Consider the following 12,509-nt stretch of genomic DNA (forward strand, 5'->3'; position numbering starts at 1 on the left):
CTGTGAGGATTAGAGAAGATGACGCCTACAAAGTGGCCCATGTAGTGCTTGACTTTTGTGTCTGCTCAGCACATGGTCACGCTCCCAAGTGTGTGGGGGTGACAGAAATGCTGTACTCACACGAGAGACGCACTGACACTGTGTTTCTTGCGAGTTTGAATTCTGAAATTAAGACCCATGACACAGCCTCCGAAGATAAATAAAAAATTTCCTCCAGATCCCAACATGACATTCCTCAAATTATATATTAAAATGCCAACAATAAAGCCTTATTTACCAAGATTAATTTTACATACTTTATTCTCATGTGCTGCTCATGATTATTTTATCTGCTCAATTAAACAAATTTCTTTTATGAGGGGTTTAATTTACTTTGTGATTATACTTATTATTTTTTACATGGTGAACTTACAGGCTGCCATAGCACCCAAAATTCTGTCATCAGAGACGGTCTCTCAGGGTTAAGGCACAATTTTTAAAAAGGTCCATGCCAGCATATTCATTTGGTGTCTTGGAGGAATGGAATGACCAGATGGTCAGGTCACCTTATCCTTGAGAGAATTAGACATAGCCCACCACAGTGTTGAGGAGGGGAAGGGCCATTTCTATTAATCTATCAAAAGGTGGTGTCAGCATAAGGGATGAGTTCCCGAGAAATCGGGGCTGATGTGAGTATAGTGGGGGCTAGGAGTTGGGGCCCAAGGAGTGGGGAGGGTGCCAGGGACAGCCTCATCTCCCTTGCATTCTTGCTTAGGACTTCTCTGTGGGTATTGGGTGGACATGGGGGTGCTGAGGGGACATGGGCATCCGCTGTGGGTATCTGAGAAATTCAAGAGCCACGTGGAAATATCATATAGTGCCCAGGGATCCCTGGCATCATTGATCTTCAGGGTGCGTTTTCTCTGCCTTGTGCTTATGTCCAGCTGCTCCCCCAGATTTGAGTGTGCTATGACATTGCTAACTTTTTGTTTTCTTATGGGATTTGGCTTTTCTTCCCAGTAAGTTCTCTTTGGGCAGTTCATGATGTAGGGTTTATTGGTCAAGCCGACAGTTCATGAATGAGCCCTGTCTATTGAGGCCAACATTGGGAAGAGGATGCGGCAGGCCCCAGAGTGCAAGGAAGTAGCGATGCCTTCGAGGACTGTATCCTCCCAGTGGTCTCCCGGGGAAGAGAAGGAGAGCCCCTGGGGCCAAAGTGGCTGTCTTCTTCCCTGTCCTTTCCTCCTTGAAACAGCAATCTCATTCTCTGCCGCCTTCTGGAAGCGTGAACGCAGTCTGTGTTTTCCATCCTCTGCCCCTCCCTGCTGCACTGGGCAAGTTGATGCAGCCCGTTTCATTTGGTTTCTTTCCCTGTTTTCCAACTGCACTGAGTCCCTTTTTTCATTTCCTGTTCAATATGTCCTTCCAGAGTTACTGTGGATAACTTTGCTTTCCACATTTTGATGTTTCCAAGACTGAATCACTAGAATCTTAGGCTTACAGGGACCTTAGACATCTTAGTGCAATTTTTTCATTTTTACAGAGGAGAAAATGGAGCCCCGGGAATGTTAATCGACTCACCCACAGTTACCCGAGTATGTGTGTGTGTTGCTGGAAGGTCAGCATGCCTCTACTAGGGACACTCTGTGCATCTTTTAGTTTTCAAAATCTGTCTTTGAGCTTATACTGTCATTCTATTTGTTAATCTTTCGTTTTCTGTCCTTTTATTTCTACAAATCATGTGCTGAATTTAGTCTGCTTTCTCTATCATAGAAAGTCTGGTACATTAAAAAAAATTCTGCCCCTTCCAGTATCTCCCATGATTATCATGGGAACAAAGTAGATGTAGTCAATTGTCTTTGTAGCATGTCTTTCTTGAATCCTTATTTCCTTAATTTTACTTCTCAGCCTTTTAGCTTTCCATTTCTCCTCTGTTGTCTGCCAATCTGATCCTTCAAGGGCATTCTACTCTCAGCTTTTACTGAGTAATGTTTAATTTGAAGTATTTTCAGCTTTTGCATATCTTTGATGTGCATTTTAAGTGATCATTGAATTATTTTACTACTCTTACCAGACACTAGTCTATGGGGGAAAAATGTTATATGTGATTTTTTTTTCAACTTGATGTTGTAAGATGTTAAATTTGATGAATTTTTCCTGTAGGTTTGTTTATGGAATGATTAAATGTACATTGACTAAACATTAACACAAGCAAAAATACTTCTCAAAGTAAATATTAAACTTTGAAAACTTGAATTCTATTATTCCCTGAGCAAGACTTTCTTTCCTCTGTGGGAGTACCCCTCTGAACATGTGTTAAAAGTTTATGAGCTAATATGATTTGCTAAACAAACATTCATTTTTATAGGCAGCTTCCAAGGAAGACCTCTCAATTGTCTAGTTTGTCCTGTGGTATATTTGGCAGGTTCTGTCCTTGGCAGCAGACTGGGTACCACATGGTTGGTGAGCATGCAGCACTGAAGATGTGTGCGTGTGTGTGTGTGCGTGTGTGTGTGTGTGTGTGTGTGTGTGTGTGTGAGAGAGACTAGATTCAGCCTGGGACCCATATCATTGAGTTCCCAAATATTGACGTAAGCAGCTTCTGGGAAAGGGTCTTTTCTGTTTTCCTTTTCGTTTTTTGTTTTAGGTGGAGGAGGAGTGGAGAGAATTTAGGAATTCTTAGTTTCCTATATACTTTGATGAGACAAAATGAAAAATGGCCTACCTACTTGGTTTATTTTGTTTATGTGGACCAGACACAACTGATTCAATTGTTCCCACAATTCTGGTGGCAATTTTGATGGCCAGGAATGTGGATATAAAAGCAGGGCCCATCTGGAATACTGGGGAATTTAGAGGTTTTGGAAAACAGGGCTTGAGGTGAGCCATATTGGGTTGGGTCTGGGTGGGAGCTTCTCATGAAATAAATAGTGCCCTCTTGCCTCGTCTGTCTGTGTTTGTTGCTTTCTGTGTAGTTGGGGACTTCTCCCATGAGAGGAGAGTGAAAAGACCTGGCTTCTTATTAACGGTCCTTTAGTCATTATATTTAATCACCCTGATCCTTGCAACAACTCCCATTAAGGCTTTACTGCTAGATTATTAATGAGGAAGAGTACATCTGTACGAGTAATTGTGGTTAAGGGAGGTTTACAATATCATGACTGTAATAAACAGTAGATATGAGAATGAATGATTACATTGAAGTCATTAACTTATGAAATGTTTGGGACCTCTACAGTGAAGTCAATGTCTGTACAGTCACTGATCATAAGCTGATGTGTTGTAGTAGTTTATAACATAGCAGCAAGTAGTCTAAGCGGCCCATTGAGTAGAATAAATGCAAACATGTGGACAAAACGACACCACATGTTTATTAATATGGAAATTATGTTTTAAAATAACAGCATGGCGTAAGTCTATACGTTTTCAATAACTATTACTAAGTCTTGACTTTTGAAACAACTCTGGCTTCATTTTTTAAGTGGGCATAGATACGAATTGAGCATAATGTTGCCCATGTGGATTACACTTTTTCAAATTGTCTAATATTTTTAAATAGTGTCAGTATAAGTTTATGTGTTATAACATTCCTAAGCATTCCCTGGGCTGTACTATAATTTTCACATTATTATCTCATACTTTGGTTTTAATAGGATTTGGTAAAAGTTTTGAAGTTTTAATTTCAGTTTTTCCCACCGCTTGGAATTTGATGATATAAAATGAAAAGAGGTTTCCATCGTTGCTAACATTCACCAGATTTTGTTCCAAAGCATGGACTTTAGTAGACTTTTGAATTAAATCCACATTCTCCACCCAAGCCTAGTGATATAATCCAACAGTTCAAAGATAGGTATGCCATAAACAGCTATAGTTAAATAATCTAAAAAAAAATTAAAACATGGAAACACAATAAAACAAGAATTGATCACTTTATAGTGGAATACTCTATAAACCGTCTGCATTAGAAACGTGGTGGGTTTTAAAACATCTGAGTTCTATAATTCTAGAGTGTATAGTTTATTTGAAGGCAGACACTCCTTCCCCTACCCCTTCCCTTCATCCGCACATCTATATAAGAATACAGGTTAATATTTTTTGCTATCCAAATTTGCATTCATTTACTTATTTTTTATTTAGAGAAATGATTTTGGAGTAGAAATACATAACATAAGTATTTTCACCTCAACTAAATATTGTATCACTAAGTACTGAAGTGTGATCCTAAAGAGATTATTTCTGTAGATCTTGCTACTCCGTCTAAAACAAAAATCACACATTGGCATAATCCCCAATAAGAGGAAGAAATTATTTAAAAGCATATGTATGATTTAGATGAGTAACACAGTCTTTATAACTTTTCATGATAATTTTAATTTTTAAGGGATCTAAACTGATCTGTGTGGCATAATTGGTGTAATTGCAGGAGCTAAAATGTACCGGTGATTTTGCAATGTCATGTTTGCACAATCTCATTTAACTTGTTGACTGAAGTTATATAACCCTCCTGTGTATGAGACAATTGGAATTGGACTCAGCCATCACAAAAAATGCTGGCTGTAGATTATACTGTTTTTCTTTTGTTTGTTTTTGATTTTTAGAGACAGGGTCTCACTCTGTTGCCCAAGCTATAGTGCAGTGTCACAATCACGGCTCACTGCAGCCTCGACTCAAGTGACCTTCCTGCCTCAGCCTCCTGTGTAGCTTGGACTACAGGTGTGCACCACCATGCCCAGCTAATTTTTTGTTTTGTAGAGATGGGGGTCTCACTATGTTTTCCAGGCTGGTCTTGAACCCCTGGCCTCAAGTGATATTTCTGCTTGGGCCTTCCAAAGTGCTGGGGTTACAGGCATAAGCTGCTGTGCCTGGCCAATGATACTGTTTGAAATTGAATAATTGGCTTTATTTTCTGAGTTATGTGTGTGCGTGAACGATGCTCTAATAGCCTGCTAGGGAAATAGGGCAGTGTTAACTGGCAGTGAAAAGGTCAGTTCAATTTCTTAGCATATTTACTTTTTTAAAAGGGGGGTTTTCGTATTCTTTAAAAAAGTATAAAATGAGAATCTTTTCTTAAGCACTGAAAACAATTTCATGTTTCATTCTTAGATAGTGATACCTCTACCACTGCGGAATTTTGTTCACGATTGCTATTTTCCTGCCCTCTCCACTCATTCCTCCTGCAGATAAATAGAATTATTCAAAAATTGCATTTTGAAATAGACACATAGGACTCTTTTTTTTTTTTTTTTGAGACGGAGTCTCTCTCTGTCGCCCAGGCTGGAGTGCAGTGGCACGGTCTTGGCTCACTGCAAGCTCCGCCCTCCCGGGTTCACGCCATTCTCCTGCCTCAGCCTCCCGAGTAGCTGGGACTACAGGCGCCCACCACCTCGCCTGGCTAATATTTTTGTATTTTTAGTAGAGATGGGGTTTCACCGTGTTAGCCAGGATGGTCTCGATCTCCTGACCTCGTGATCCGCCCGCCTCGGCCTCCCAAAGTGCTGGGATTACAGGCGTGAGCCACTGCGCCCGGCCCCCACGTAAGACTCTTTTTACTATGCTTAGTGAAAAGTGAAAAGTGGAAGGGCCTGGTCCCAAGAGGGTGGTGGCTGTGCTAGGGCTCCTGGAAACTTCTTGCTCTGGTGGCTTCATTACATAATAACAAGATCCTGTGGCACAGACCAGGCGCAAATTGCTTCACATCTGGGCCTTGCTGTCCCATGTATTTTAACTGGAAAAGCTGCATTTGCTGTTTTCTAAGGTTTATTCAGGTTCTAAGATGTTAAGATGTTAATGTGATATTAACAACACTGTTGTTGACTGGGAGCTTCCTCGGTGTTCAGCACTGCTCTCTGATTGGATCTCTGTCACAACCCTGCCTCAAGACACTTATTACTAACCTGTTGTAAAGATGAGGTTACTGAGACTTGGAGAGGTGAGAGAACCAGTTGTAAAGCCCTGCAGCTAGTGACGGGTGAAGCTGGGATAGGAGCAGGCTTCTCACTCCAACGTCAGGCTTTCCCATCACATAAACTCATTATCTTCTGCTGGGACTTTTGTGTATCTGTTTCTGATCCAAGAAAAACCATTGTGCTATGGGTGTGCTATGTATGCAGAGGAAATATAAGCTAGCACCTCACTCATGGCTCAAAAAGGAGGAGGAAGTGTTCTACATTTAAAATACAGTTTAATTCCGTAGTGTTTGTAGGTGATGTGATTTCCTGCTGGAAAAAAGAAAGCTGACTTTTAATTAGTTTTTCTTGTCCCTTGTAGAACTAAAAGCTCATCCAATCCCATCTTTTGGTCTGTTTTATTAATGATAAAAAAATGCACATATTTGTTTAGAAATTTCACTTAATTACAGCAAACCGAAACCAGCTATTTTTAGCCAGGAATAATCTTGCCTGTGAGGAGACTATTATGCAAATGGAAGTAAGGACTAAAATAGCCATTAATGTCTTTAACACACTTAAACTTCTATCCGTTTCAATAGAGATGAGAGGGAAGTCACATTCAGCCCAATCTCCCCAGCTAAGGAGGAGGTTGGGTTGCCCCAGAAGAGCACCCCTCTAGGCCCACATGCAGAGGAGGGTGCAGGAGTGCCTCTCTCCTGTGCACCCCTCCTGTGGGGTAGAGCTGCTTCTCCCGGCCACCCTCAGGTGAGAGTATTCCAGTTTGGGGTGGGGCTTGGTTTCTGCGATTCATTCTGTCCCCATGAACACAGCACCAGAGGTCTAAAGTTTTCCCATCCTTTTTGTCTTTGCCTGATGCATTGTCTTTCCTTTCTGCTTCCCCCCATTTCAGCTCACTTAGCAAAACTTGTCCAGTGAGATAGTATTTTGCTAAAAACCTACTCAGTGCTTCCAAACACATAGAAGAGCACTTGTCAGGAAGTGCCGGCCCTCATGACCTCTTGAGTGTGGTTTAAGCCTTTGGATTAGGGAGGGGACCTAGAGAAGGTGGCCTCATGATGGGCTGTTGATTGATTTTGTCAAATTCTGTCCCTTTCTCCTCTCCTTTGCTCTCCTGACTTACTCTGCAAGGAGTTGGGGATGATGGATTCTACCCAACTGATATCTGTGAATTCATTTTATTAAATTGGGTCCTTAACTACATACTTGGAAAGAGAACTGTCTGTATTTTGGTGATGTATAAAGTTTACTGTCTGTCCCCTGGGTCTGAATGACAGAAACGAATGTCCTTATCTGTATTTGCTTGTTTTCTTATTTATATAAGGCGCCAGGTAGGTAAGAGAAAAGAAACTATTTCTAACAAGTTATTTTCGTGTTTACTGTTTTAAACACTAAAGATATCGATTTTAAAAGTTTCAGTTGAACAGTGAGAAGAGCAAAAAGGCCAGTAAGTCCTGTCACCTTATTTCTCTAGGGGCCAGCTTCAATGCACACATTTTTGCCTGGGGCGTGTTCACAGCTTTGGGATGTGGTGTGTGTGTGTGTGTGTGTGTGTGTGTGTGTGTTATTTTTGTTGTTACTGCCCATGAGTTTTGCAACCCCAGGAGCCCTAGGTTGTGGGGTTCAACTGAACCCCAGCTTTCATAAAGCTCGAGTAGAGAGGAAGTGTAGTCCATCTGGGAAGATGCAGAAGCTTTGTGATCTGGATCAATGCACGTTTCTTCTTGGTATCTGTGAACCTGAGAATGTAGCTTTTTTAGTTAGGGGTCTCTTCTTCTATGTAAATTCAAGGAAAAGGCCGGAATATTTGCTTTTACGTTGGATTCAGGAAAACTCAGTCATGATAGAAGCATTATGTTTTAAAATGTAGACTGAGAGTTAGGATTCTGCATTAGAATTCTCCCAGGGACCTGTTAAAAATGCATATTTTGAGAATTGCTGAATCAGAGTTTTAAAGGTTTGGGGCTCAGAAGTCTGCATCTTGAAAAGGCATCTCAGGTGATTCTGCTATACACGGAATGAAGTTTAAAAACCACTCATAGAGAGTAGTAAGTAAATGCTGCTGCTAAAAAGGGCAGAACATATCTGACATCACTGATCATGTTGCTAATGTTGATCTCTGCAGCAGGTACTTTATAAAATATATACTGGTGTTAAAGCTGTTATATCTGAGCCTTGCCACAGGCACAGGCTCTCCCTCCCAGTGTGGTCACCACATAGCTGCTCTAGGAAAAATGGGAACAACGTATGACATTAGGTGTTCCTTGCATTTGACTCATTCAAATGATTGGTATGTGCAAGAGTTTAACTAGAAAACGTTTAGACTCTTTAGTGTTTTAGTCATTATGAGTTAGAGATTAGAATGTAGTTAAATTTGTAGGGTTAGGCAGTTTTTGCAAAATGCATTAAAATGGTTAAAATGGGCTAAAACATCAGTGTTTTCTCATGGGGGTTATATTGTGTAGCAACGGAATGTTACTTTTAATATTGAATGTAGCTAATTATGCAACATATTTATTTACCTTTTTAAAAAATTTTAATTTTAATTTTTAGTTCTGGGGTACATGTGTAGGATGCGCAGGTTTGTTAAATAGATAAACGTGTGCCAAGGTGGTTTGCTGCACCTATCAATCCATCCCCTAGGTATTAAGCCCAGCATGCATTAGCTATTTTTCCTAATGCTCTCCCTCTTTTTCTTTTTACAGGAAAAACTAACCCAAGAGTGTGTATTCAGAGAACAGTTCGAAGAAAACTGGTATAATACGTACTCATCAAACCTATATAAGCACGTGGACACTGGAAGGCGATACTATGTTGCATTAAATAAAGATGGGACCCCGAGAGAAGGGACTAGGACTAAACGGCACCAGAAATTCACACATTTTTTACCTAGACCAGTGGACCCCGACAAAGTACCTGAACTGTATAAGGATATTCTAAGCCAAAGTTGACAAAGACAGTTTCTTCACTTGAGCCCTTAAAAAAGTAACCACTATAAAGGTTTCACGCGGTGGGTTCTTATTGATTCGCTGTGTCATCACATCAGCTCCACTGTTGCCAAACTTTGTCGCATGCATAATGTATGATGGAGGCTTGGATGGGAATATGCTGATTTTGTTCTGCACTTAAAGGCTTCTCCTCCTGGAGGGCTGCCTAGGGCCACTTGCTTGATTTATCATGAGAGAAGAGGAGAGAGAGAGAGACTGAGCGCTAGGAGTGTGTGTATGTGTGTGTGTGTGTGTGTGTGTGTGTGTGTATGTGTGTAGCGGGAGATGTGGGCGGAGCGAGAGCAAAAGGACTGCGGCCTGATGCATGCTGGAAAAAGACACGCTTTTCATTTCTGATCAGTTGTACTTCATCCTATATCAGCACAGCTGCCATACTTCGACTTATCAGGATTCTGGCTGGTGGCCTGCGCGAGGGTGCAGTCTTACTTAAAAGACTTTCAGTTAATTCTCACTGGTATCATCGCAGTGAACTTAAAGCAAAGACCTCTTAGTAAAAAATAAAAAAAAATAAAAAATAAAAATAAAAAAAGTTAAATTTATTTATAGAAATTCCAAAGGCAACATTTTATTTATTTTATATATTTATTTATTATATAGAGTTTATTTTTAATGAAACATGTACAGGCCAGATAGGCATTTTGGAAGCTTTAGGCTCTGTAAGCATTAAATGGCAAAGTCCGCTATGAACCTGTGGTAAATTCATGCAAGTAGATATAATGGTGCATGGATATAAGAAATTCTAATGACCCTAATGTACTAAAGGCGACAATCTCTTTTGTGCCCATATTATTGTAAACTTATGCACATCGCTCATGACACTGAGTATTCACTCTTCAGACTGCTTGTTTCATAGCTTATCCCAGAGGATTAAAGATAAACTGGGTCTCAAACTTTGATTCTGTGTCTGCAATATTTCCTCTCTCATAAGTGACTCCACTATTGTAACTTCATGGTTGGAAAATATGAGGGTTGATATATGTCTTACTTGTTTAAATCTGTCGCAGAATATACCAAAGCTAAATAATAACTATGCTTTCATTTTAGCCGATCTCCAGAATGACAGTATTAACATCAAACATTGTATTGATTTAGAATTCTCAAAAAAGGAAAAAAAAGTACATAGCACAGACTATTTTTTTTAAAGACGTAAGAATCAGATTAACAGGATCATACTTGTAAACTTTTTTTGGTTCACTTGGCTATCAAATATGAAATTATAGAAGTATCATAGGGGTCATTGTAACATCTTTTAGAGAAAATGGCTATCAGTGTGAACTGTCATAATTACGTGGTAATAGCACCCTTAGTAAAACTTGCAAAATGAAACTAATAAATCGTTATCAATAATGACAATGAGGGGGAAAGTATTATACTTGTTGACTGTGTTTTGTTTTTTAAAATGGTCTCCACAAGCGCTCAATTTTTTTAGAGGGGATATTACTATATAGAATATCTTTTACAAGGCTTTTATAACATTTTATGCTGAAAAGCATAAGAATACGTATTTCTTTAGTAGCAATAATTTTGGAACTTGCCCTTGGGCAAGCGAGACTATTTCTTACTATATACTAAGGAGAAAAGAGCCAAATTCTTAAAGCAATATTTAAGAAAAAAGGAATTTATAACAAATTCTCATCTACATATGACACTTTCTAGCCAGTTGTGTTGAGAAGTGCAAAGTGACGGTTTAAACATGTGTTGGGATTTATTGAACTAATTTTAAAATTTACTATTCAAACTTTATTTTGCTCTGATGCACATTCTCTATGAAAAATAAAAGTGTGTCACTGGTGAGTGACAGCTGTTATGAGCTAGAAGCGCATGACTTATTGTGACGATGTCTTGCCTTTCTGTGGTCCAAGTTGGAGTACATGGCAATGCCCTCCTGCTGATGTGCATTAAGGAAAATCTAAGTCTAATATTTGGAATTAAGATATATTTTAGGGGGAGGGGACAGAAGCAATGTAAAATAGTTGATTTATGATAAAGCTCAGAATGTCCTCTTCATTTATTTTCTTGTTTTATTTTCCTTTCTAAACAGAAACTGCATTTAATTCCAAAAAGTAGTATTCTTATTTATTATTTAACCCTTTGCTGCTGCTAAAATGTGCACATATTCAGGCTTTAGTTTTTCCAAAAGGCATTTTTTTTTTGGCTGAAAAATATTAAACATTTGACCACAGGGAAGAATCAAGTTTCTAGGATGTCATAGGTATACTATGTAGCACTGAAAAAATTGATTTTAGGTGACAGCCAAAAGTAGTCTTAAAGTAGCATGAGACCTTAGATAATCGACCTAAAAGAAAGAAAATTGTGAAAAAGACAAAAATCTTCATGCATTCCTATAAAACGCTACTTTAAGGTCTACTTTTGGAGTTAATTTTGTTTGGTACTTTTTTTTTTTTTAAGACGAGCAAATTGTTATATGCTTTTGGCAATTGATACAATAAACTGTAATGGTCTGTAAATAAATAAATATTGACTCATGCGATTTATGTAAATAGTGGAACTGGGAGAGTGGATGGCTCAGGGTTTCGGTGTGGGCATTGTCTCTTGGGCAGTAGAGTGAGTCATCCCCAGCTCATGGGTTTGCATCCAGTTCTTGTCTTAAGAGACCCAAAGCCCAGTGAATGGCAGCCCTGAGCCACTGTGGAATGGGGGTTCTGGTTTCACAAACAGATGCTTAGATAGCCAAACCACTGTCTTGTTGGTGCCAACACTTGCACTGTGGTCAAAGACTTACCGAGCATGGGCTGAACAACCTTCCCATCTGTCATGTGAATGTCCCCAAGCAGTGGTGAAGGACATGCTAGGTCAGTGTTGGGGAACCTGCCCTGCCAGGTCCTGTTTTGTAGATAAACAAATGGCTGCCTTCTGGTGTTTTTATTCTATTTCATCTCATTAACACTACAACCTTGTGTTATTTACTTGATAATCTGTAATTGTATGTAAATACATACAGGATTATGTAATTTGTGTAAATACATAATTACAGAGTTTTGAAAACTGGTATTTTTTACTTGATGTCCATTTTGGAGCTGCTTCACATTCTGTGCCTACATGAGCCAATGGAATTTAAAAAGCATGTTCTCCTTGCTCTTACAGCTGTGCTATGTGTTGAGGGGTTGAGGGTTATGGGGGATGGAGGGGAAGGAACAAACATATCCAGATGTGTTCTCTCTGTAAGTGTTCGATGAAGAAGCAAGTCATGTTCTGGGATGAAGATTTATGAACTTGGAGCAAGCGAGGCTAAGTGTGTGTGCACATTTACGTGGACGGGTGAATGGACAAAGTCATATTGTTTGACGTCAGATTCTGTTTGCTGCATCACTTGACCTTGAAATGTGCCAAATTTAGATCCACTGTTTGTGGTCACTTGCACGAAAAAGCAATGAAATGGTGGGGGTCGGGGAGTATGCCAGATGAATAGAAAGAAATATTAGCCACCAAGGCCCTCTCAAGTGTACGTGTGTATACATGTGGCCTACGTGCTCTATGATACCCACATGCATCCAGAGACATTTCACATTTTAAAACTTATATTTTATTCTTAAAAGTGGAATGGGGAGGAATTATAACAATAAACTGCGTTTACTTCCTTAGGACACGGTCCAAA

General features: G+C 39.5%; 1 protein-coding gene across 2 annotated transcripts in view; it reads left to right on the plus strand.

Annotated features, from left to right (window-relative positions):
• Positions 1-11,899, plus strand: part of FGF9 (fibroblast growth factor 9) — a 33,426-nt gene extending 21,527 nt beyond the window's left edge. For both annotated transcript variants that reach the window (NM_002010.3, XM_011534996.3), the window contains exon 3: positions 8,591-11,899. In NM_002010.3, the coding sequence (NP_002001.1) occupies positions 8,591-8,836 (246 nt within the window). In that variant the 3' untranslated portion in view covers positions 8,837-11,899. The remainder of the gene's footprint in view (positions 1-8,590) is intronic.

Source organism: Homo sapiens, chromosome 13, assembly GCF_000001405.40.
Source record: "Homo sapiens chromosome 13, GRCh38.p14 Primary Assembly".
NCBI lineage: Eukaryota > Metazoa > Chordata > Mammalia > Primates > Hominidae > Homo > Homo sapiens.